Source organism: Homo sapiens, chromosome 10, assembly GCF_000001405.40.
Source record: "Homo sapiens chromosome 10, GRCh38.p14 Primary Assembly".
NCBI classification, from domain to species: Eukaryota; Metazoa; Chordata; class Mammalia; order Primates; family Hominidae; genus Homo; species Homo sapiens.
Genome location: NC_000010.11, coordinates 131,255,152 through 131,276,279, shown reverse-complemented (window position 1 = coordinate 131,276,279; position 21,128 = coordinate 131,255,152). Strand labels below are relative to the sequence as shown.

Genomic DNA, 21,128 nt, shown 5'->3' with positions numbered 1-21,128 from the left:
ATTCTAGGGCAAAGGGTTAATCTTTTTAGCAACAGATGGACGCTCTGGACTGTACTTAGAGGGATGTTGCTGGATTCCCCCCATGGTAACCCCATATCAGGAGGACCCTTGGAAGTTGAGGAAGCTGTGGACCCTTTTAATTCATGAAAGCCACACATTGAATAGATCTTTCAGGAGGAGAATGCTGTCTAGCAGCCACCCAATTAACATGTATGTGTTAAGCACCTGCTGCATACACAGTATGGGCCTTGGAGCAGGATCCTGCCTGAGGAGTTTCTGTGTGTGTGGTGGAGGCAGGCATGTCTCAGATTCTGATAGAAAGTGAGTCTGGGGGAGGCAAAGGGATCTTCTGAGCCAACCTGGGGGTGCGTGCACGTTGTCATGCCCAGGCGTCCACGTCCAGACCTTGTGCTGGATCTCCAGTTCCAGAGAGCCTACTGCCATCTGCCCCACCAGCTGATGCTGGCACAGGGGGAAAGGCTGGGCTCCTGGTGCTCATTGGAAGTTACTTTAAAACCATCCATTCTTCCTTTTTAAAGATAATTTTTAATTTTTTTATTTCAGTAGTTTTTGGGGTATAGATGGGTGTTGGTTACGTGGGTAAGTTTTGAGGGGTGATTTCTGGAACCTGAGGGAACCCGTCCATTGTTTCTTAATGATGGAAACTGCTGCTTGCCTTTTCCCCCTCTCTCCCTCTCTGATCTGGTTCCTTAATCAGGACATTTACGTTACCAGGTATTCACAGCAATCTGTTCTCCTGGGTAGTGTCATTAATCTCTAGTTATAATAAAATGAATATTCAAATTATTGTGCAACAAATTACATGAAATCACAATAATAACAACGCATTAGTATCCCTAAACTGACGTACAAAGCTAAGTGAATTTTCTCCGTTCTTAGTGAGAGTACCACACTCTCGCCTTGTACCTGTCCATTTTGCTGAGGCAGGGAGAGTGATGTCCATGCTTGTAGACCTCCGGTGACTCGATTAGACATTCTGTCCAGTGTGTGGAGAGCAGGGCTGCTTGTTCATACCCATGCGGTGGGGCCCAGTGACATTTTGAGCTTACATCATCAGGGTCCTCCGTGGACATATGCCAAAGCTGCACCTCTTAGCTCCTTAGCTCTGTGGGAGGAGGCCCGGCTGCCAGGCACTGTGTCATGGGGTGGAGGGACAGGGTGAACCTTGGCTGCATCCCTTCAATGCTGAGAGCAGGGCAATGTGGGCACCTTTGAGTATGGATCAGGAGTCAGTGGCCCGAGATCAGGATCAGGAGTCAGCATCAGTCATATAATGTGGGGCCTAGGGGTCTTCCAGGTCTGTGCCCACAGCCTTAGGCTCCATTCTGAGATCTCGAGCCTGCCTGACTCCACCTGATGTGACAATCCAAACTGCAGAACTGGGATTGTGGATGGAGGCAGGCAGACTGGATGGGGCCATTTCCACATTTTTTATAGCTGCTAAGCGAAGCGGTGATGCCAAGGGACGGTGTCACACGGCCTGGGCTTAGCTCAGCTGGAAAAGCACAAGGGCAATGTGAGGGGTCAGGTGGGTCCTCCCCTCCTGGGGCCTGGGAGGAAGCTTGGGGAAAGTTGACGTCTGTGAGTACCTGTGCAGAGCCAGATCATGAACAAGCCATGCAGCAGCAATGCCTCGCGCTGGGGGAGCTGGGCCCTAAGGGGGTTTTAACGAAACAACCGGAGTGAAAGAAGCCCTTTGCAAAGCAGTCTTGGTGCACAGACCTGTGATGTCAGCAGAGGAGGGGCACGCAGATGAAATGAAAGGGATGTGCCTGGGAAAGTCACCTTCACACTTCCTTCAAGGATGGAGAGGCAGAAAGAGTCCTAAAGCCAAGACTCATACGTCGGCTGATCTCAGTTTTCATGGCCATAGGATGCTGAGCAAAACTGAACAAGTGCAGCTGGGAATGGCGTTGGCCCTGGCTGCCTTGAGCAGGTGCCGCTCTGGAGGACAGCGGCTGTGCAGGCACCATCCGCCACCCAAAGGCTGCGTTCTGCTTGCTAAATCTCATTTTGAAGAAACAGAATGATCGTTTTAGAATATGAAAATGTGGATATTTTCTGAAATGTAGTTTACGAGAATCTTTCCTTTCCCATGTCTATGGGATCAATGACCATGAGTTGTGTGCAAGACAGCAGAGCAGGAAAAGGAAGGACACTTTCCTCCTGGGCGCTGAGCAGACATTCGACGGCGGTGGTGCTTCCATCACACGCCCAGGCCCCGTTCCTCTCTCAACCAAACAGAAGAGAAGAAAACAGACCTGAGCAAGCAGTTTCATTTCTCCTGTGACATGTTCCCTGACAAATTATTTTCTTTCAATTTGGGAAGCTTTTCACGGGGGAATAGTTTCTCTCTCACTCCTGACTTTCACTTTGAGTAAATCCTGTTATTTCCATATTTCCTAGAGAAGTGGGGCTTCCCGGCATCCACTTGCCAGCACTCACCAGAGCTCCGTTTGGCTCCAAGAGCCTTTTTGGAAGCCCAGAGCCTGGCCCTGGGGCTTCCTGGAAGCACTCAGAGTGACCTCTGGAGACCTTGGGCCAGTGCCACCCACTGCGAAGATGGGGTAGGTGTGGGCAGCGTCTCCTCTGGGGGAAATGACGCCCTCCGCCCTGGAGCCTCCTCTCGGCAAATGAGGGAGCCTCGGTCAGCCCAGGGGCCTGGATGGAGGCGGGAAAGCTGAGGCCCACCATTGGGGTCAGCCCCCACCACTGCGTTTCACTTTGAGAGTCACCTTTTAAATGACAATTCCCAAAGCCTCATTCCTCAGAAACTTTTCCTTGGCGTTTTGTGGCAGAGATTCAGGCTCCACATTGAGTTTGTGGCAGCAAAGCCCGGGGCTTTGGCCAAGGGACTCTCCAGGAGGCAGGCGAGTGCTTTGGGAACCGGGTTCCTGGTGACTCCAGACCCACGGAGGAGGCCAGCTGGATGTGCCCGAGCCCCCAAAAGACACTGCCCGAGAATCACCACTGTGTGTGGTCACTGCTGGGGCCTCCATTCTGGCCATCCAGGCTATGTCCTGACAACCATGGGGGTCCCAGGCTGTCTACACGGGCAGCCCCTGGGAGTCCAGGACCCATTGCCATGGGGCAGGGACCCGACCTAGGCCAGGGTAATGGAAGGGATGCGGGGAGTGGAAGGTGGCGCTGCCTGAGTGAGGCGCCCCGGGCCTGAGGGTGAGGTCGGGCCCACTCCACTGTGGACCCCAACTCCCTGCTGCTCTGTCTGAAGAACAGTCTCCAAAGCCTCACTCCATGGACAGACCCTCCCCATCAGCAAAGGCGCCAGATCACCCTCAAATGACAGGGAAGCTACAGAGCTCCCGGCTGGGCACCTTGTCCATTTGGTCCTCTAAACAACACTCTCCCCACCCCACAGATGCAGAAACCGGGGTGAGGAGCCTCTGTGACCTCTAGGTCCCGTGGAAGCTGGTGTGTTGAGCCTGCTGAGGTGACGGCTCATGCCTCCACATCCCGGCAGGGTGGGCAGCACTGAGGGCCTGAGCTTCCCTGCTGTGGGGAGATTGCCAAGGGCTCTACCCCCATCCACGCTGGACGGCACAGTTCACAGACCAGGCTGTGGTGTGGGAGGATCAGGAAGGGTTGCCAAGGGTCATCTCTCCCACTGGCCAGGTGAGGCTCCACACAGACACTTCCTGAGCACTGGGGTCCCCAGGCACAGGGCTGGTAGGGAGGAAAGAATGGTGGGGGCCCTTGGGGACTCCACCACCCAGCAAGAGCCAGATACTCAAACACCTAACATGGCAAGGAGATGAAAGGGGCCCGTGGAGCTTGGACCATGATCCAGCCCAGTTTGTAGGATTATTTATTTGGCACATTCAAAACTTGCAACTATAGCAGGCATTGGATGCCTTTCAGAAAACAACCAGAACAACAAACACCAGAAATTGCAAATGCTGGCCACCTCATCCAACAGCAGTTCAAACGCACGTGTCCTGAATCTGCAGGGCGCCTCAGTCAGATATGCAAACACCTGGCGCTGGTCTTCCACAAGGAGCATAGTTAATTCCTGATGGATTTCCTGATTCTTGCAAGCTGTGTGTGGAGCTGTGTGTGGAGGCGCAAGACACGGTGTTCTCAGAGGACACGGAGGGAAGGACCTGTGCTGTTGACGGAGTCCCTGCACCAGCTCATTCCGCCGCTGCCCACCGTGTTGTCAGAGCCCCGTGTGCCTGCTGTGGACCCAGGCTTATCTCCCTGTGAAGCTTGCTGGGCCTGTCTTCTGTGCCTGAAGTCACTGTCCTGGTCAAAGAGTCATTTCTGCAGAAATGGTTACCCATTATTTCTGGTACAGTTGGTAGCTACAGCGCCTGAAGGATTTCCACTGGAGCTGAAATCAGTTGCTAAACAAGCATAATAAACTAATGGTTGTTTGTTTTCTTGAATGGGTTGCTCAGCACAGACAGCATGGCAGCTGGTGTTTGTCAGATTCAGTCTCCGGTCACAGGGACCCTCACCAGCCATCCTGGGCTTTGCCTAAAACCCTCTGCCCTCGGGGAGGCCTCCAGGCCTTCCCTCCACATGGGCATTCTCAGAGGCAGATCTGTCCTGGCCTTCCTCCTGATCTCTGGTGAAGATGCAGAAGGCAAATGCTTAGCATTTTATCTGTTCTGCATCCCACCGGCGGGCATAATTCCCAGCTTAGTCTTTGACAAGTCTTCCAAGCCTCAGGTCCCAGAGCCCATGACGCCAGCACGCTCCTTTTGGGTGAGCATCCCTTGGGCAGAGTGGTCAGATGCCTGGGCCAGGCAGGGAGGGTCTGGCTGGGGTCAGCAGGCCTCTCCAGCCACGTGCCTTCTGTGGGCACCTCCTCTGCAGAGTGCAGGGAGAGACGGAAGTCCTCTGGACTGAGGCTGGCTCCTACCTAGGGTTTGCCCAGAGAGGAAGAGAAAACCTGGAGAGCCGCCCAGCTGCGTGTGGGTGTGCTGAGCCGGCACAGTGGGGCTTGGCTCACTAGGCCTGATATTCTGGAGCCACCTGCCACTGCACCGGGCTCCCACCCTACTGTCCCTCTTCTTCACTGAGTCCCGGGAAAAGCCAAATCCAGCTGCTGGTTGGGTGCCAGGTTCTGGAGGCAGGTTCTGGAGGCAGGTTCTGGAAGCATCTCAACAGCTGGTCTGCCTCTGAGCAGAGAAGGCGGTGGCAGGGCTGCCCTCCTGGTATTGCTGAGGCCAGTGGGGTCTTCAGGAAGTCACGATGTGGAGCCCAGCCAAATGCCTCAGTGCACTCGGCCCCAGGGTGGGACCTAGTGAGGCCCAGGAGAGTCTCTGGGAAGCCCTGTTCCTCTCAGATGCGTCAGATGGATGAGGCACGACTTCAGCCAGTGTGGGGAGGGGGCCTGGCCCCAGCCTGGCAGGGTGGGATTCAGGCCAGATACACTGGAACAGGAACGTCGGCACCATCATCACCGCGGGCCTTTGTGCAGGTTCGACAAACCTCGCCAAGCCTGATATCTCCCACGACACACAGGGACAATGGACATTTGCCTGCATGTGGATATTAAAGGAAGTGTTTGAAAAAAAACATGCAACCAAAACTCTTTTGCAAGTTTGATAATCAGAGAAGAAGGTAGGAGTGGCAATAACAATGCAAACGCCAGCAACGGCAGCAGCCATGCGGGGCTGGGCATCAAGCACATGTGGGTTTTCTGGAGATGTTGGCTCCGCACCCTCTCCTCAACCTGCCCTCAAGGGAAGCACATGGTTAATTACTGTTTTGCTTAAAATATTGATTTTTATAAGCCATCCTTGTGGGATAGCATTTCTGGCTTATCTCTGAGCTGGCTTAGCAGTTTTCTTTGGCTGGACCTGTCTTATCTCACTGTTTATTTACTCAACTACGGGATTCCCTGTGGTCCTTTGGGGAAAGTTAGTTATGGTATTTATCCGTCCATGCAGTGTATTGAGTGCCTGCTGCTCTTCAAACTCAGCTCAGGAGGCGTCTCCGAGGGGAGCAGCTAGCGTCCCCAGGCTCTGGCTGGCTTTGCGCCCTTCCTGGCTTGTATCCTCAGGCAACTCCTACCCAAAGGCACTCTTCTGTTTGCCTGGGTGCCCACGTTATATCATCTTTCCAGTCCCAGAGCCAGGTGCCATCTGGCTTCATAAATGTCTGACTGTGGGGTGCAGAGAAGGACATAGGAAGGAAAACACAAAGCAACCCACACCTCTTCTTCCCAACACTGGGCTCCTTGTGTTACCGTTGCATGTTTATCAGTAAACGGATTTGGATATCCTCCTGAAGTGCGCTCCTCTTGCCTTTGTGATGTGCACGTGGGGTTGCCGTGCTCCGTGGGCTCTCTGTGGGTTGCGGGTTTGGTGCGAGGCTTCACCTGCCCAGTAGGCACAGGCACACTTCTCTTTATTGTGCGTCCCTTTCTTGTGCCTTGCTGATAGTGTGTTTTTACAAGTTGAAGGTTTGTGGCAACCCCAGGTGGGAACAAGTCTGTGGGTGCCGTTTTCCCAGCAGCGTGTGCTCACTTCATGTCTCTGTTACATTCTGGGAACTCTCAGTGTTTCAAAGTTTTTAAGTATTGTTACGTCTGTTGTGGTGATCTATGATCAGTGATAATCGATGCTACTATTGTGATTGTTTTGGGGAGCCACAAACTTCACCTGTATAAGATGGGGAGGTTAATCTATCAATGTCCTGTGTGTTCTAACTGCTCCACCAACCAGCCTTTCCCCATCCTTCTCCCTCTCCTTGGGCCTCCCTCTTCCCTGAGACATAGCAATATTGAAATTAGATCAATTGAGGCTGGGCTCAGTAGCTCATGCCTATAATCCCAGCACTTTGGGAGGTTGAGACGGGCAGATCACTTGAGGTCAGGAGTTTGAGAGCAGCCTAGCCAACATGGCAAAACCCTGTCTCTACTGAAAATACAAAAATGAGCCAGGCATGGTGGCAGGCACCTGTTATCCCAGCTACTCGGGAGTCTGAGGCAGGAGAATCACTTGAACCTGGGAGGCGGAGGTTGCAGTGAGCCGAGATCATGCCACTGCACTCCAACTTGGGTGACAGAGTGAGACTCCATATGAAAAAACAAACAAACAAACAAATAGAAATTGTATCAATTAATCCCTTACAATGGCGACTACATTTTCAAATGAAAAGAAGAGTGGCATGTTTCACTTTAAATCAAAAGCTAGCAATAATTAAGCTGAGTGAAGAAGGCGTGTTGAAAGCTATTATAGGCTGAAAACTAGGTGTCATGCACCAACAAGTTAGCTGAGTTGTGAATGCTAAGGAAAAGTTTTTGAAGGAAATCAAAAGTGCTACTCCAGTGAACAACAACAATAAAAAGATAAAGTGAAACAGCCTCACTGCTGATGTGGGGAAAATTTTAATGGTGTGGATGGAAGATCAAACCAGGCACAACATTCCATTAAGCCAAAGCCTAATCCAGAGCAAGCTCCTAACTGTCTTCAACTCTGTGAAGGCTGAGAGAGGTGAGGAAGCAGCAGAAGAAAAGTTTGAAGCTAACAGAGGTGATGCATGAGGTTTAAGGACAGAAACTGTCTCCATAACATAAAAGTGTAAGGTGAAGCAGCAAGTGCTGATGAAGAAGCTGCACCCAGTTATCCAGAAGACCTAGCTAAGAGCGTCGATGAAGGTGGCTACACTACAGAAGAGATTTGCAATGCAGATGAAACAGCCATCTATTGGAAGAAGATGCCGTCTAGGACTTTTATAGCTATAGAGGAGAAGTCAGTGATGGGCTTCAAAACTTCAAAGGACTGATGACTATCTGGTTAGGGGCCAGTGCAGCTTGTGACTTTAAGTTGAAGGCAAGACTAATTTACAATTCAAAAAATCCTAAGGCCCTCAAGAACGATGCTAAATCTACTCTGCCTGTGTGCTATAAATGGAACAGCAAAGCCTGGGTGACAGCACATCTGTTTCTAGCATGGTTTGCTGAGTATTTAAAGCCCATTATTGAGACCTACTGTTCAGAAAAAATAAAAATAAAAAAGATTCCTATCAAAATATTATGAATGGCAGCAGCAGTCCATCTAGAGTGGCTGCTTCCAAGATGCCAGCTGCAGCAGGGAGGTGCAGCTGGGTCTTCCACTCCACAGAGCAGGCAGGAGCCCAGCCCTCCCTGGGCACCACTGCAGCTGCTCAAGGCCGGCTATGGAGCAGGGCATTCCCGTGGTCTTAGGGGACTGGGAATCCCTCCCTGCCCCCCACAGGCTCAGAAGTGACTGCTCCCACTGCTGAGCCTGGCACTCCTGGCAGCTGGGCCCAGGGCCTGCAATTCGCTCCCAGAGGAGCCAACCCTGGCAGGGTTGTGAGCTGGGCAAAGGGGAGCCCTGGACCACCCCTGAGCACTAGGGCCCCCGGGGAACTTGTGGCAACATCACCCTTGCCCTCGACTCTGGCACGGGCCTGGCAAGGCCCTGGAGCCCCCACCGAAGTCTGCAAGGAGGTGGACAGGGCAGCAGGACTGGTGGTGGGAGCAGCAGTGGGGTTCCCTGTGCCCCATGTCCCCAAGGCAGCCAACTGTGCCACCTCCACCCTTGCATGGCTGGGCAGGACCTGCTCCGAGGCTTGGAGCCTCTGCCACAGCTTCAACCTCACACTCTGCCATGTCCTGGGAGCCCATAAGCACCCGGCCAAAGTTGCAGCCAGGACTCATGGGACCAGCCCCAGGAACATCGGGTTCACTTGTGCAAGGGCCACCACTGCGGCAGAGGGAGACGCAGAGAAGGGCACAGCCAGGTCTGCTCACTTTGCAGAGCTGGGACAGGCAGGAGCCATGACCCCCCTCAAGTTGGCAGTGTGGGAGCTGCCGAGGCTCAGTTGCAGCCACCCAGGTTGCAGCTGTGGGCCTGGGCCTCCCGATGCTCTCAGGGCTTAGGCTTGGGGGTATCTGCTCCTGCTGCCTGGCCTCTCCCTGCTTCCAGTGCTTACTCCGATCCTAGAGTAGGGTTGGGGCCAAGCCTGGGTGCTGTTGCAGTCCAGCCAGGTGTGTGCACACTCAGGGCAGTGCTCATGTGCAGTGCCCTGCTGCCTCAGATTCTCTGGACTTTGGGCACCAATGAGCGCAGGTGGGAGGCTGAGACGGGGCTGGTGGCAACTCAGCACTGGCCTGCGGGTACCCCTGGGTGCAAGCGGCCTGGGCATGATGAGTGGTGGCAGGAGGCAGACGGGCTCCTGGGTGTGAAGGAGTGGGTTCCAGATGAGGATGCACCTTCAGGCCAGGGAGGACCTGAAGGCTGGGGGCCGGTTGCCAGTCCTCTGGACTGGAGTAGGGACTTGTGCCTTTTCCAGGCCCTCTCATGGCCACCCATGGACCAATTGGAAGGCACTTCCTCCCCTCTGAGGCCCATAAAAGCCATAAAAGACTCAGCCAGAGCAGAGCAGAGGACAGAGAGGTGCCAGGATGACCAGCTGCAGAGAGGAGTTATCAGCTGCAGAGAGCAGCAGATGTAGGGACGACCAGCCACAGAGAGGAGCTACCCTCTCCAAGGCCTCCTCTCTGCTGAGAACTACAGATGTCCAGTTGACCAGCTGCAGCAGAAGCTACCCTCTCTGCTGAGAGCTGAACACTCATCAGGATGACCTGCCTGCAGAGAGGAGCCACCCATTCCAGGGCCTCCTCTCTGCTGAGAGCCTCTGAGCTGTTCTAACACTTAATAAAGCTCCTCTTTGTCTTGCTCACCCTCCACTTGTCTGTGTACCTCATTCTTTCTGGACTCAAGAAGTCAGACCAAGGTGCCACTGGCCACAGAGGTTTCCAGCCAGAAAAGCAACACCCCAAAGATCTCGTAACATTTTTACTCATTGACAACGCACCTGGTCACATGGGGATGAGATGAATTGTTTTCGTGCCTGCTAACACAACATCCATTCTGCAGCCGTGAACATTCATAATTCATAGGAAGAGGACAAAATATCAACATTAACAGGAGTTTGAAAGAAGCTGATTTCAACTCTCATGAATGATTTCAGGGGTTTCAAGACGTCTTTGGAGGAAGTAACTGCTGATGTGGTGGAAACAGCAAGAGAACTAGAAGTGGAAGTGGAGCTTGAAGATGTGACTGAATTGCTGAAATCTCAAATACAACTTTAACGCATAAGGAGTTACTTCTTACGAGTGAACATAGAAAGTGGTTTCTTGAGATGGAATCTACTCCTGGTGAAGATGTTGTAAACATTGTTGAAATAATAACAAAGGATTTAGAATATTACATAGACTGAGTTGATAAAGCAGCAGCAGGGTTTGAGGGGATTGACTCCAATTTTGAAAGTTCTACTGCGGCTAAAATGCTGTCAAACAGCATTGCATGCTACAGAGACATCTTTCCTGAAAGGAAGAGTCCATCAATGTAGCAAGCGTTGCTGTTGTCTTCTTTTGTGAAATTGGCACAGCCACCCCAGCCTTCAGCAACCACCATCCTGATCAGTCAGCGGCCATCAACATCGAGGCAAGACCCTCCACTGGCAAAAGAGTTACAGTTTGCTGAAGGCTCAGATGATCTCTAATATTTTTTAGCAATAAACTATTTTTAAATTTAGGGATGTACATTTTTTAGACATAATACTATTGCACATTTAACAGACTACACTATAGTGTAAACATAACTTTTGTATGCATTGGAAAACCAAAAAATTCACTTGACTCTCTTTATCGCAATATTTGCGTTATTGTGGTGGTCTGGTACTGAACCCACGTTATCTCTGAGGTTTGCTGGTACTCAATTCCGATGGTTATCATGACTGAACTTCACCCTTCACAAGGGCCTGGAGCTGGGCAGAAGTTTTATGATAATACCAGGACCTCTTCTTTCGATCTCATCTACCAATGATGTAAATCATTCTGTTGATATGATTAACTTTCTGTCTTCACTGATATCATTCAGCTGACTTTGTGAATGAATCAGAGTGTTAAAATTTCATATGATCTCAGAGCAGGTTAAAAAGTATATTTTCAAGTTTATTTTTCTTAAAGAGACAGATAAGAAAGTTTCCTTATTTATTTTTCTGTTTAGTTGACCCATGATTTTTTGCAACAAAATCACATGGTGGTAAACACATTTTCTCACTTCCATATACAAACCACTCTCACCTTAGTATCTGTTCCTTGTAAAACACCATCAGTCGCTTTTTCACTCATTATGAAAGGCCATCTTCATTTCAAACAACAGATTGAGTTCGTTAAAAAAAATGGACTCGGTGGCTTCTCACCAGGATTGTGAAGTTTGGTCCTGTCTTCTTAATTAAGGGCTCGGCTGGGACAGGCAAGAGTCTGAAGTCGGAGGACATGTCGACTCCCCGTTCTCTTTCCCTCACTGACCAGCACACAGGTCTAGAGCCAGAGTGATCTACACAGACGTGGGACCCTCACGCTGTCAGGGAGCCCTGAACAAAAGGCTCCTGCAGTTTTAGGGGCCCTGAAGTCATGGAGTTGGGAAAGGCTTGGAGCGGGAATTCCCTGGGAACTGAGTCAGAGCGTGGAGGTGGCTTTAAGCTCTTGCCCTCCCCCGCCAACACGGAGGTCTTAGCAGAGACACCTGGAGGACCTCTGCCCAAGGCCTCAGATAATGAGACCTGAGAATGAAGGTGTCCCCAAGATAGGGGTGCAGATGTGCTGGGAGCGTGACTGGCCCCAGGGCCCGAGCCTTTCCCTGCTGCTCCCTCAAGCCTGCCATGCCTGGCTAAGCAAGAGCCTGGTGTGGGGACGCAGCTTCCCCCTGAGACCTGCCCAGTGCAGCCTTCAGGTCAGGCCCAAAGTATCACACTCAGGCTTTGAACCAGGAGCCCGACTCCTCAGGTGCAAATCTGTATACTAAGTACCAAGCTGTATGGCTTCTCTGTATCTGTTTGCACCCGTATCACACCCTATAGAGATCCAACCTTTCCTTCCTGTGGGTGGGTGGTCTTCGACAGCCCCTTCCCGACCCAGGAGCCCACAGCTTGGGCCTGACCACCAGCACTGCTGCACCTGTGCTCTGGCAGGGCTGCTAAGTGGCAAGGGCAGGGTGTGTTGCCCCAGTCCCTCTCTGCTGGGTAGGAGGAGCTTCAGGGATGAGAGTCAGAGCATCCCCGGCAGGAAGGTCAGCCTGGGCTGAGACCAGGGAGAAGCTTCTGGCTGGGCAGGACTTGGGCACAGGAAAGGGGTGTGGGGGGAGGGGGAGTGCAGGGGGATGTTATCAGTGGCTGAGGGGCTTTGCGTGTTTCAGCCCTCCCTCCGTCCCACCCACCCATTGCCCTTCTGGGGGCTCCCAGTGGTTCCTGGGGTTTGGAAAACTCCAGGTCATTCTGATACCATCTTTTCCTTCCTCAACTGGAAATAACTTCCCAGCAAGGACTTTAACTTTTGCGCTCACTCAGAGGCCCACTAAGCAGGTTAAATGAAACTACTAAGTGGTTAAATTCCAGTGGAAACAGCTGTGGAGAGGCAGCATGCAAACAGAGATCCTAAGGGGAGAAGCCATTGTTAATAAATTTGTGTAGGGCTTTCTAGTGCATCAAAACTTCTGGAAAATTCCCTCCTTACACTGACACATGCTTACACTGTTTGGACCCTGCAGTCTACTGCATAGCAATAAATACAGAAATGAACCTGTTTGCAGACGGTTGTTTATGTCGTCGTTATCTATCAGAACAGCACCTATTACGATGGAGGTGGGTAAAAATATGGCAAATGTATGGGGCACGTGCCTTCCTTGGAATACAAGGCTGTGGTTCATAGTGGGACTTTTGAAGGCCATGTAATGATAAAGGAAGTGTTCATTTTATAGCATCTCATGAAAAAGCCACAGATGTGGTGTGATTGTGATACGTTTCCAACACAGCCAGGCCAAACAACTGCAATATAACAAAAGATGGACAGTGTTCAGTGGGGGAGTTCAGGAGGGGCCTTTTTATCCGCATAATTACTTTATCTTATAAATTTTCTAAAGTGTGTTATTATTAAGATGATATATTTTGAACAGTGCTTAGTTTTTTCTGACTTCAAATCTGTCTATGGCAACAAGTAGATTCCATGACATACTTTTTAGAAAAGCCGACATCCAGAACACCGACATCACTAAATGCAGATTGAGGATGTGGAACAACAGGAACTCCCATTCACTGCTGGTGGGAATGCAAAATGGCATAGCCACCGTGGAAGACAGTCTGGCAGTTTCTTAAAAAGCAAAACACACTCTTACCATAAAATCCAACAATTGTGCTTCTAAACTGTGACACATCCTGATAATGGAGTATCATTCAACAATAAAAAGAAATGAGCTATCAAGTCATGAGAAGACATGGAGGAACCTTAAATGGATATTGCCAAGCGGAAGATGGCAGTCTGAAAGGGCTACATAGTATTTGGTTCCAACTGAATGGCCTTCTGGAAAAGGCAAAACTAGAGAGGCCATAGAAAGATCAGCGGCTGCCAGGGGCTAGGGGGAGGGAGGGATGAACAGGCGGAGGCCAGGGGAGTTTTAGGGCTGTGAAAATGCATTGTATGATACCACAGTGGTGGTACAATGGCTGTGAAAATGCTCTGTATGATCCTACAATGCCTCTGTCCAAACCCATAGGATGCACAGCACAAAGGGTGAACCCCAGTGAACACCGTGGCCATAGTTAATAAGGTGCCATTGTCAGCTCATGAACTGTAACAAACCCACCACGCTGATGCCAAATATTCACAATGAGGGGAGTGGAGGCATCCATTAGGGAACTCTCTCTACTTTCTACCCATTTTTTCTGTAAACCTAAAGCTGCTCTATAACAAATTATATTTAATTTAAAATAGCTGTATATGCTCATCATAGGCAATTCCAAAAGAAAGGAGAGAAAATCAGCCGTAATTCTGCCATCTAGATATGTTCATTATCACGACTTTCTTCTATTTTTTAACCACATCTGACATCATAGTGTTAAGTACCTCCTATATGCCTCCAAATGTCTAGCTCTAGCCTGGATGTCTTCCTTGAAATAGGGACTCTATAGGGTATGGCACTGAGCCCATCTGGAAGCGATGCTGTCCCCTGCGCGTCTGTTCCCATTCAAGCAGGCAGGATGAAGACATTCAGCTGAGACTCAGAGCTGGCCTCTGCACTGCTCCGCAGGCTCCGCTCCCTCCTGTGGCTCGCCTCGCTTGGAGTAAAAACCAAGTCATCCCCCGCCTATGTCTGCCGGCAAAGCCTGGCTGTCCCCTCACCCCCCACTTCCTCATCTCCCTGTATGCTGTGCCTCGAACACTGCACCTCATCCCTGATGATTTCCTTGCAGCTCCTGGAAGGCACCACACAGGCACTGGCCACGGGGCCTTCGCACGCCTGCTTCTTCTCTAGGGGTCAGCAGGGAGTCTCGCCTTGCCTCATGCAGACTTTTACCTATTTTTTCCTTCTCAGTGAGGACTTTCCTGGCCACCCCAGTCACAATTGAGGCCCACACACCAAGGCTAGATGCCCTCTCCCTGCTTTCCCACTATGCCCACCGGCCTGGAAAGTACAGAAAATCAACAAGAAGAATGAGCACCCTGCCTCTTCCCTACCTGGGAGGAACCTTCCCCGAAGGCCAGCCTTCCCAGTGTTTTGTTCACTGCTCTGTCCCAAAGAGCTACTGCTGGAAAATGCCTGGCACTTGTCAGCTAAATAAAGACTGGTTGACTGAATGACGATACATTGCAGGAACCTATATGATTTTTAGCCTGTTTTCTTTGCCTACTGTATCATGAGACCTCGCTCTGGCACTAACGATCTTCCCTGATGTAATCGTGCTGACCACTGACCGTCCTGTGCACAGCGCACCATCCTTCATGCAGCCGTCCTGCTTTTGCTGATATTTCTAGCTCCTCATTCTACACCTGTATCCTAAGGCACTGGGCATGTGGGTGGGTCACACGACAGGACGTGCCAGATCAAGAGTAGTGAATTATATCAAGGTTTTAGAAACATATTTCCAAATTGCTGTCCAGAGCTGGCCAGACTAAGTTTCCACCATCCATATAAAATGGCACCTACAAAATACTTCTTAGATACCACATTTATTTGGGAAACTGAGGAGTCTTTTAAAAGAAAAAATGTTTTACTGAAAAGGCAGAGGAAGAAGCAAACTTTCAGATGCGTCCATTGATGTCAGAAAAGATGCCTGATTCCAAGCTTGCAGTCTGACTCCTCTCAAGGAGCGACCCACGCTGAGCTGGGTGTGGGTGTCTCCTGCAGCAGCTGGTCTGGTGACCGGCCACTCCCTGCAGGGCCCAGCTGAGCCTGGTGCCCTCTGGAAACCTGTCCACCCTCTCCCTGCAGGGCCCGGCTGAGCCTGGTGCCCTCTGGAAACCTCTCCGCCCTCTCCCTGCAGGGCCCAGCTGAGCCTGGTGTCCTCTGGAAACCTCTCTCCACCCTGGCCCACAGCTGCCCCTTCTTCCAAACCACCCCCACTTTTTTATGTGGCACTCCTGGGCCTTCACCGGTTTCTGCTCCAAATCACTGAGTGCTGTTCATGGTCACTTCTGATTAGGTACTTAACACACTGGCACCAGGGACAAGCAGTTTCTCTTTAAGGCACCCGGGTCCTGGCTCGTCCCCTGGTGACTGTAAGCCTTGCAGCTCACTGGGCATCACACGGCTCTGTGTGTGCACTGGTTGCATGGCAGCGTTTGACTGATGGAGAACTCATCAGAAGCATTTGTTCTGCGGACGGTGGCACATACTGTGGGCCTCCATTAAAGAGGGGTAGCGCCCCCCTCACCTGTTTTCTGGGGGCTGATATCTTGCGGTAGCGAGATGGGCATCTGTCACCCATGGCCCTGGTCGTCCCCTTGCTGACCCTCTGCATCCCTCTTCCGCAGGTGGCTGCCATAACAGCCTTAAGGTGACCAGCAGCCCCGCCATTGCCATCGCCACCGCCGCCGCCGCTGCCATGGTCTCCGTGGACCCTGAGAACCTCCGGGGCCCGTCCCCCTCCAGCGTGCAGCCGCGCCACTTCCTGACCTTGGCACCCATCAAAATACCCCTCCGGACGTCCCCCGTCTCAGGTAGGCTCGGAGCGCCGTCCCGACGCCTGGTGCTGCCTTAGCGAGCGCGCGGAGGCTTCCTGGTTAGATGCCCCTGGCCTGGGCCCAGGCGCTGTGGGACCTGAAGCCCGGCTCCGGTTGAGGGAAACATTCGGCTGGGGCCGTTTGGGCTTTGCTTGACTTCGGACCCTGCAAATCGACCCGACTCCACTGAGCCACCTTGTCAGGTCCACCCTGGCACTTCCTGCTGTAAAGCCAAGGTGAAAGCTTCCGTTTGAGGAAATGAGACTTCTCTTTACTAACTGGAGTTTAGGGGGAGTCATGCATGCGTCTGGGAGTGCAAGCACCCCAGGAAGTTGTGATTTTCTTGCACGGGACGTGCAGGCTGGCGTGCTGGAGTGGAGCCTGGTGAGTGAGCGCAGAGCCAAGCCGTGTGCTGCTCCCCCCAGGCAGTCCACTTGGCATGCCTTCTGGCCCTGGGCTGGACACAGGGGCTGGGGTCCCACCCACTGTGACAGCTTGGAGTACCAGAGGCTTGGGCCGCCACAAAGGCATTTGAGCTCATTAATGCAGTAGACGTGCTCCCTTTCTGAGATGTCCTCGGGGCAGGGGCCCGGAGGGTGGCCATTCTGGTGTCCTGAGAGGTGTGAGATGCATTGATGAGGCACTCAGGGTAGATGGGAGGCCCTGGGTCCCATCTGCAGCTCTGTTGTCCCTGCGTGTTCACAGGCATGCGTGTCCATCCACTAACTGTAACCTGCACGCTTCGTGACCCAGACATCCTTGTGAAATGCGTGTTTCTTCAAACTTAGGAACAGCACCATTAATTTGGAATGACAGTGCCAACTCCCAGGAACTGAGGATTTACTCTGTTATTTTGGTTTTAGTTCTTCATGTGAGATGGTAAAACTTGAAGAGAAATTCCATGGAAGATTGTATTAATATCATTAATTGCTAGATTATCAGTAGCAGGAAATGTATCACTAGACTGTGATAGACACACACACACATAAATATATACCTACTACTTTATGGTAGAAAGACAAACAGCCTAGTTCCATGACTTTCCAATTTTTGGAGTGTTTGCAGTTTGTTGACTTTGTTGCTAGTAAATCTAATGTGGTCTTTTTCAACAATGGACCTTCGGCGTTCGCTATTTCTATGCTGGTTTGATGAATTAGTTGATAAGTCGGATATTGTATTCTCAAGATCAAAATTGTATTTCTATGTCAGCATGTCAGTGAACATGCATTTAGAGTGTGATGGAGAAAATAAATAAAACACATGGATAATCTCGGTGTGGAACATAAATTACAGCTGTGTCAAGAGTTTGGTTAAACCTACTAGTACATTGACATGTATTAGGGGTGACTTACTGTTTTCAGAGGAAAATTAATCTTAGAACCAAAAGCTGTGTACCTCAGGGGCAGCTTCACTTTCCATATCTCTGACATGATTTATAAGGTGACATAACAATTAGGCATCTTCTCTTGTTTGCCTTTTATAAGGTTCCATGATCAAATTTGCAATAATGCGTGTTCAGTTAGAACGAGGCCAGCACCAACGTTATCTGTCCTGTAGATAACTGGAAAAATGGCCTGACAGGAAGATGAAAGGGGCGTTACTCAGAAGGTAGCTCCTAAAATTGCCTTCCCATTGCTGGAATTGATCCATCTGACCTGGAAACCCTGCCCATAGGACAGGATGCAGGTTGAAGTTGAAATACCACCAGGAGGCTGGGTCTGGACCGGTGATGAGCAGGTCTGAGCTGTGAGCAGCGTGGCCCAACCCAGGCTTCATGGGTGGGTGTGGTGCTGCCAGGGGCGCCCCTGGTGAGGGCTCCATTGGGAGGTGGGACTGCCTGGCAGTGCTGCCCTGGCGGCCTCCTCTGGACTCGGGGCAAGGCTGTCATGCCCATGAAGAAAACCATCCTAACATGTCCCTGGGGTACTTTTCGAAAACCAAGACTTGACGGAGATGGGATAGAGAGCTGGCCTATCTGCGCCATTCGGGCTGTTTTCTAAACCATCGCAAGAGGCCCACAGAACGATGGGAGCAAGGCGTTGTCTCTGCTGATGGGCAGTCTCAGCGAATGCCCAGGCAGCCCCCTAGGAAATTTCTGATACCCCTTAAAATAGATGAACTGGGCAGGGGCAGGACAAGGATGAGCTATCCCATGGAGGGGTGGGTAGAGGGAGTGGCCCCGGCCTGGCGGAGAGGAAATAGAAGGACATCAATGCAAAGCAGGTGCTGATGGACTCAGAAGAACACAGCTCACTCCAAAGTTTGCTCTATATTCAAACTGATTTTATAAAAGGATGTGACCTTTAATTTATCTACAGAAGAATAATCCTGTTTTTATTTGGAAGATAAGTCCCACTTTATATAAATGAGCTTGACTGTTTTACTTACATTCTGGACTTTGATATAAAAGTCAGTAACCTCAGAGCTCCACGTGGTTTAGCTTAATGGTCCCCAACTGGAGACAATTCTGCAACCAGAGGGTATTTGGCAGTGTGACTATCCATGTGTTTTGGTTGTCATGACCTGAGGGTTGCTACTGGGATCTGGTGGGTAGAAGCCAGGGAAGATGCCACAATCCTACAACCCCCAGGCAGCCCCCATGGTAGAGAATCATCTGGCCCAAAGTATAGGTAGTGGCTCTGTGGAGAAACCTGGGTTTGTATTATTAGAACTCTGCTTAAGGCACCATGAAAACCTGTCTGGATACCCGGCTAAGCTCATCTGGGAGAGTTAATGTGGCACTACCCTGACCCTGAAGGAGCGGGCTCTGTGTTGGAAAGAGTCCACAGTCATAAAGATTGTGCTGAATTCGGTGCCTTGCACTAGATTTAGCTTACCTAAGATGCCACATAATACTTAAAGAGCCCGTGACCAGGTCCAGATTCAGCCGTGAACCGGGCTTCTCTTTCAGAGTGGTGTCAGCACGGGCGGGAAGGCTGGTCCCTGCTGCCCTCCCAGGGGATGGGGTGTCCTTTGTGTCCGTTGGCCTCTGCTTCACGGGGATCTGTTTATCAGGCTGGCCCCTCCCAGGCAGTGGGTCTCCAGCAGAGGTTGCATCTTTCCATCCCCGCCCTGCCTGCACCCAACACAGCAATTCCCCTGACTCCAGGGACAGCGCTCCCTTCTGAGCGTTGATAGGCCGGGCAGAGCCTGCTCCTGTTCCACTTACTCACAGAACTTTTTTTTTTTCTTTCTTTCTTTTCTTTCTTTCTTTCTTTCTTTCTTTCTTTCTTTCTTTCTTTCTTTCTTTCTTTCTTTCTTTCCTTCCTTCCTTCCTTCCTTCCTTCCTTCCTTCCTTCCTTCCTTCTTTCTCTTCCTCCCTCCCTTCCTTCCCTTCCTTCCTTCTTTGTCTTTCTCTCTTTCTTTTTCTTGAGATGGAGTCTCGATCTGTCGCCCAGGCTGAGAGTGCAGTGGTGCGGTCTCGGCTCATTGCAACCTCTGCCTCCTGGGTTCAAGTGATTCTCCTGCCTCAGTCTCCCCTGTAGCTACGATTACAGGTGCACACCCCCATGCCCAGGTAATTTTTGTATTTTTAGTAGAGACAGGGTTTCACCATGTTGGCCAGGCTGGTCTCGAACTCCTGACCTCATGATCCGCCCACCTCCGCCTCCCCAAGTGCTGGGATTAGAGGCGTGAGTCACTGTGCTCAGCCAAAGTGATCCTTCTTTTAAGAAAGACAGCATTTATTTTTAAAATTTGGCCCACCATGACTGAATTGTCCAGGCCAGAAGAGTGAAATATGAGTGAGTACTTTTGGTCTCTGGTAGAGCAGGTAACTACCAAACAGATATTAAAAAGGGCCATCTGCCTGGGAAGCCGTTTGCCACCTGTTCTTTGCTTCCAGAACTATTTAATGGTTTAAATTTAACATTTTGTCCTGCCACAGAACAGCTGGGAAGTGACTATTTTTTTGTTCTATCAGTAACTTACCAGCCAAGTCAGAAAGTCTCCAAGCCAGAATTCTACCACGCAGCCTTTCATGTTGCTGTCGGCTTTCCTCATTAGCAAAATCTGCAGATGCTGAAGCAGGTTCTATAACAACAGTAATTCAGACATTTGGGAATAAGGTCTTTTTTTAAATCATCCAGGAATTGTTTCCTCCTCCTCTATAATCAAAAATGTCATAATACATATTAACATTTTAAAGATTTTCAGAGACAAAAATATTGTAACAACATAATTGCTTATACCTCAAGATTCCTGAAACTCATCTGGCGTGTGCGGGAAACACGTGTTCATTTCTAATGGAGGATTGAGTTACCTCTAGTGGAACACTTACTGGATTTAAACCAACAAACCCCTTTTGTATAGTTTGTTACGCATGATAAGTGAATTCTTACTGAGAATGCAACTACAAGTATCTGAGCTGGCATTATTACATTTAGTTGTATAAGGTGCAGACTTTCCCACTGTTGGGCTCTAAAGAGGAGAGCTGCTTTCACAGGGAAATCATTCCTATGAGCAAGGTCTGGCTCACTTGTCTAGAAAACGATGCTCCTGGGACCTCGCGTTCTTTCTGAGCTGCTCCGTTCCCTGTGCCTACCCTGAGAATCACCCTGACTTTAACTACGTTAGCCGTTAGCCATCTCCACTGTTAGCTCCAATTCACCCTCTCTTTGAAGAGAAAATGTGGAAATATATCATGCACGCCACAGCGTGCCTAAGGTTATGTCCAGTATAGAGAATACTAATACAATAGACACCCAGTGCCTCCCTCCGAGCCTGAGAAACGTGATGTTCCCAGTACCCCAGCCTCACCTCCTGCTCACCCCAGAGGTCACTGCTCCCCTGAAGATGTGCCAATTATTCCTTTGCTATTTTTAAAAATATATGTTTACCATATGCATATGCATTATCTCTAGACAATATGTTGCATACTTTAGTTTTTGTTAATTTCACATACATGTTAACATAGTTTGCGCATTCTTCTGCGATGGCCTTTTCACTCAGATATATGCTTTCTTTAAAGTTGTCCCTGCTGGCATGTGCAGTGGTGGTACCATCTTGTTCACTTTTGTGCAGCATTTGTTTGTATGAAGTCATATAACACCTTGTCCCCTCTGCCAGTGGGGAATGTTTCCTGCCACCTGAAAGGTCAGACTCA

The 21,128-nt window shown here is 50.4% G+C and overlaps 1 protein-coding gene across 3 annotated transcripts in view, besides 3 other annotated features; it reads left to right on the top strand.

Moving 5' to 3' along the window:
• The window catches only part of TCERG1L (transcription elongation regulator 1 like), a 219,331-nt gene that overhangs the window by 35,442 nt on the left and 162,761 nt on the right, over positions 1-21,128 (top strand). For 2 of the 3 annotated variants that reach the window (NM_174937.4, XM_047424966.1), the window contains exon 4: positions 15,836-16,021. In NM_174937.4, the coding sequence (NP_777597.2) occupies positions 15,836-16,021 (186 nt within the window). Of the gene's footprint in view, positions 1-15,835; positions 16,022-16,729; positions 17,312-21,128 lie in introns of those variants that run through there. The other variant, XM_047424967.1, reaches the window with a different exon arrangement.
• Positions 11,256-11,756: an enhancer, noted in NCBI's record as "H3K4me1 hESC enhancer chr10:133062787-133063287 (GRCh37/hg19 assembly coordinates)". NCBI's record gives its function as "activates a minimal SCP1, AML or CMV promoter by ChIP-STARR-seq in primed H9 embryonic stem cells {active_cell/tissue: H9 hESC(primed)}" and the evidence as "EXISTENCE:reporter gene assay evidence [ECO:0000049][PMID:30033119]".
• Positions 13,713-14,212: an enhancer, noted in NCBI's record as "H3K4me1 hESC enhancer chr10:133060331-133060830 (GRCh37/hg19 assembly coordinates)". NCBI's record gives its function as "activates a minimal SCP1, AML or CMV promoter by ChIP-STARR-seq in naive H9 embryonic stem cells {active_cell/tissue: H9 hESC(naive)}" and the evidence as "EXISTENCE:reporter gene assay evidence [ECO:0000049][PMID:30033119]".
• Positions 16,483-17,048: an enhancer, noted in NCBI's record as "H3K4me1 hESC enhancer chr10:133057495-133058060 (GRCh37/hg19 assembly coordinates)". NCBI's record gives its function as "activates a minimal SCP1, AML or CMV promoter by ChIP-STARR-seq in naive H9 embryonic stem cells {active_cell/tissue: H9 hESC(naive)}" and the evidence as "EXISTENCE:reporter gene assay evidence [ECO:0000049][PMID:30033119]".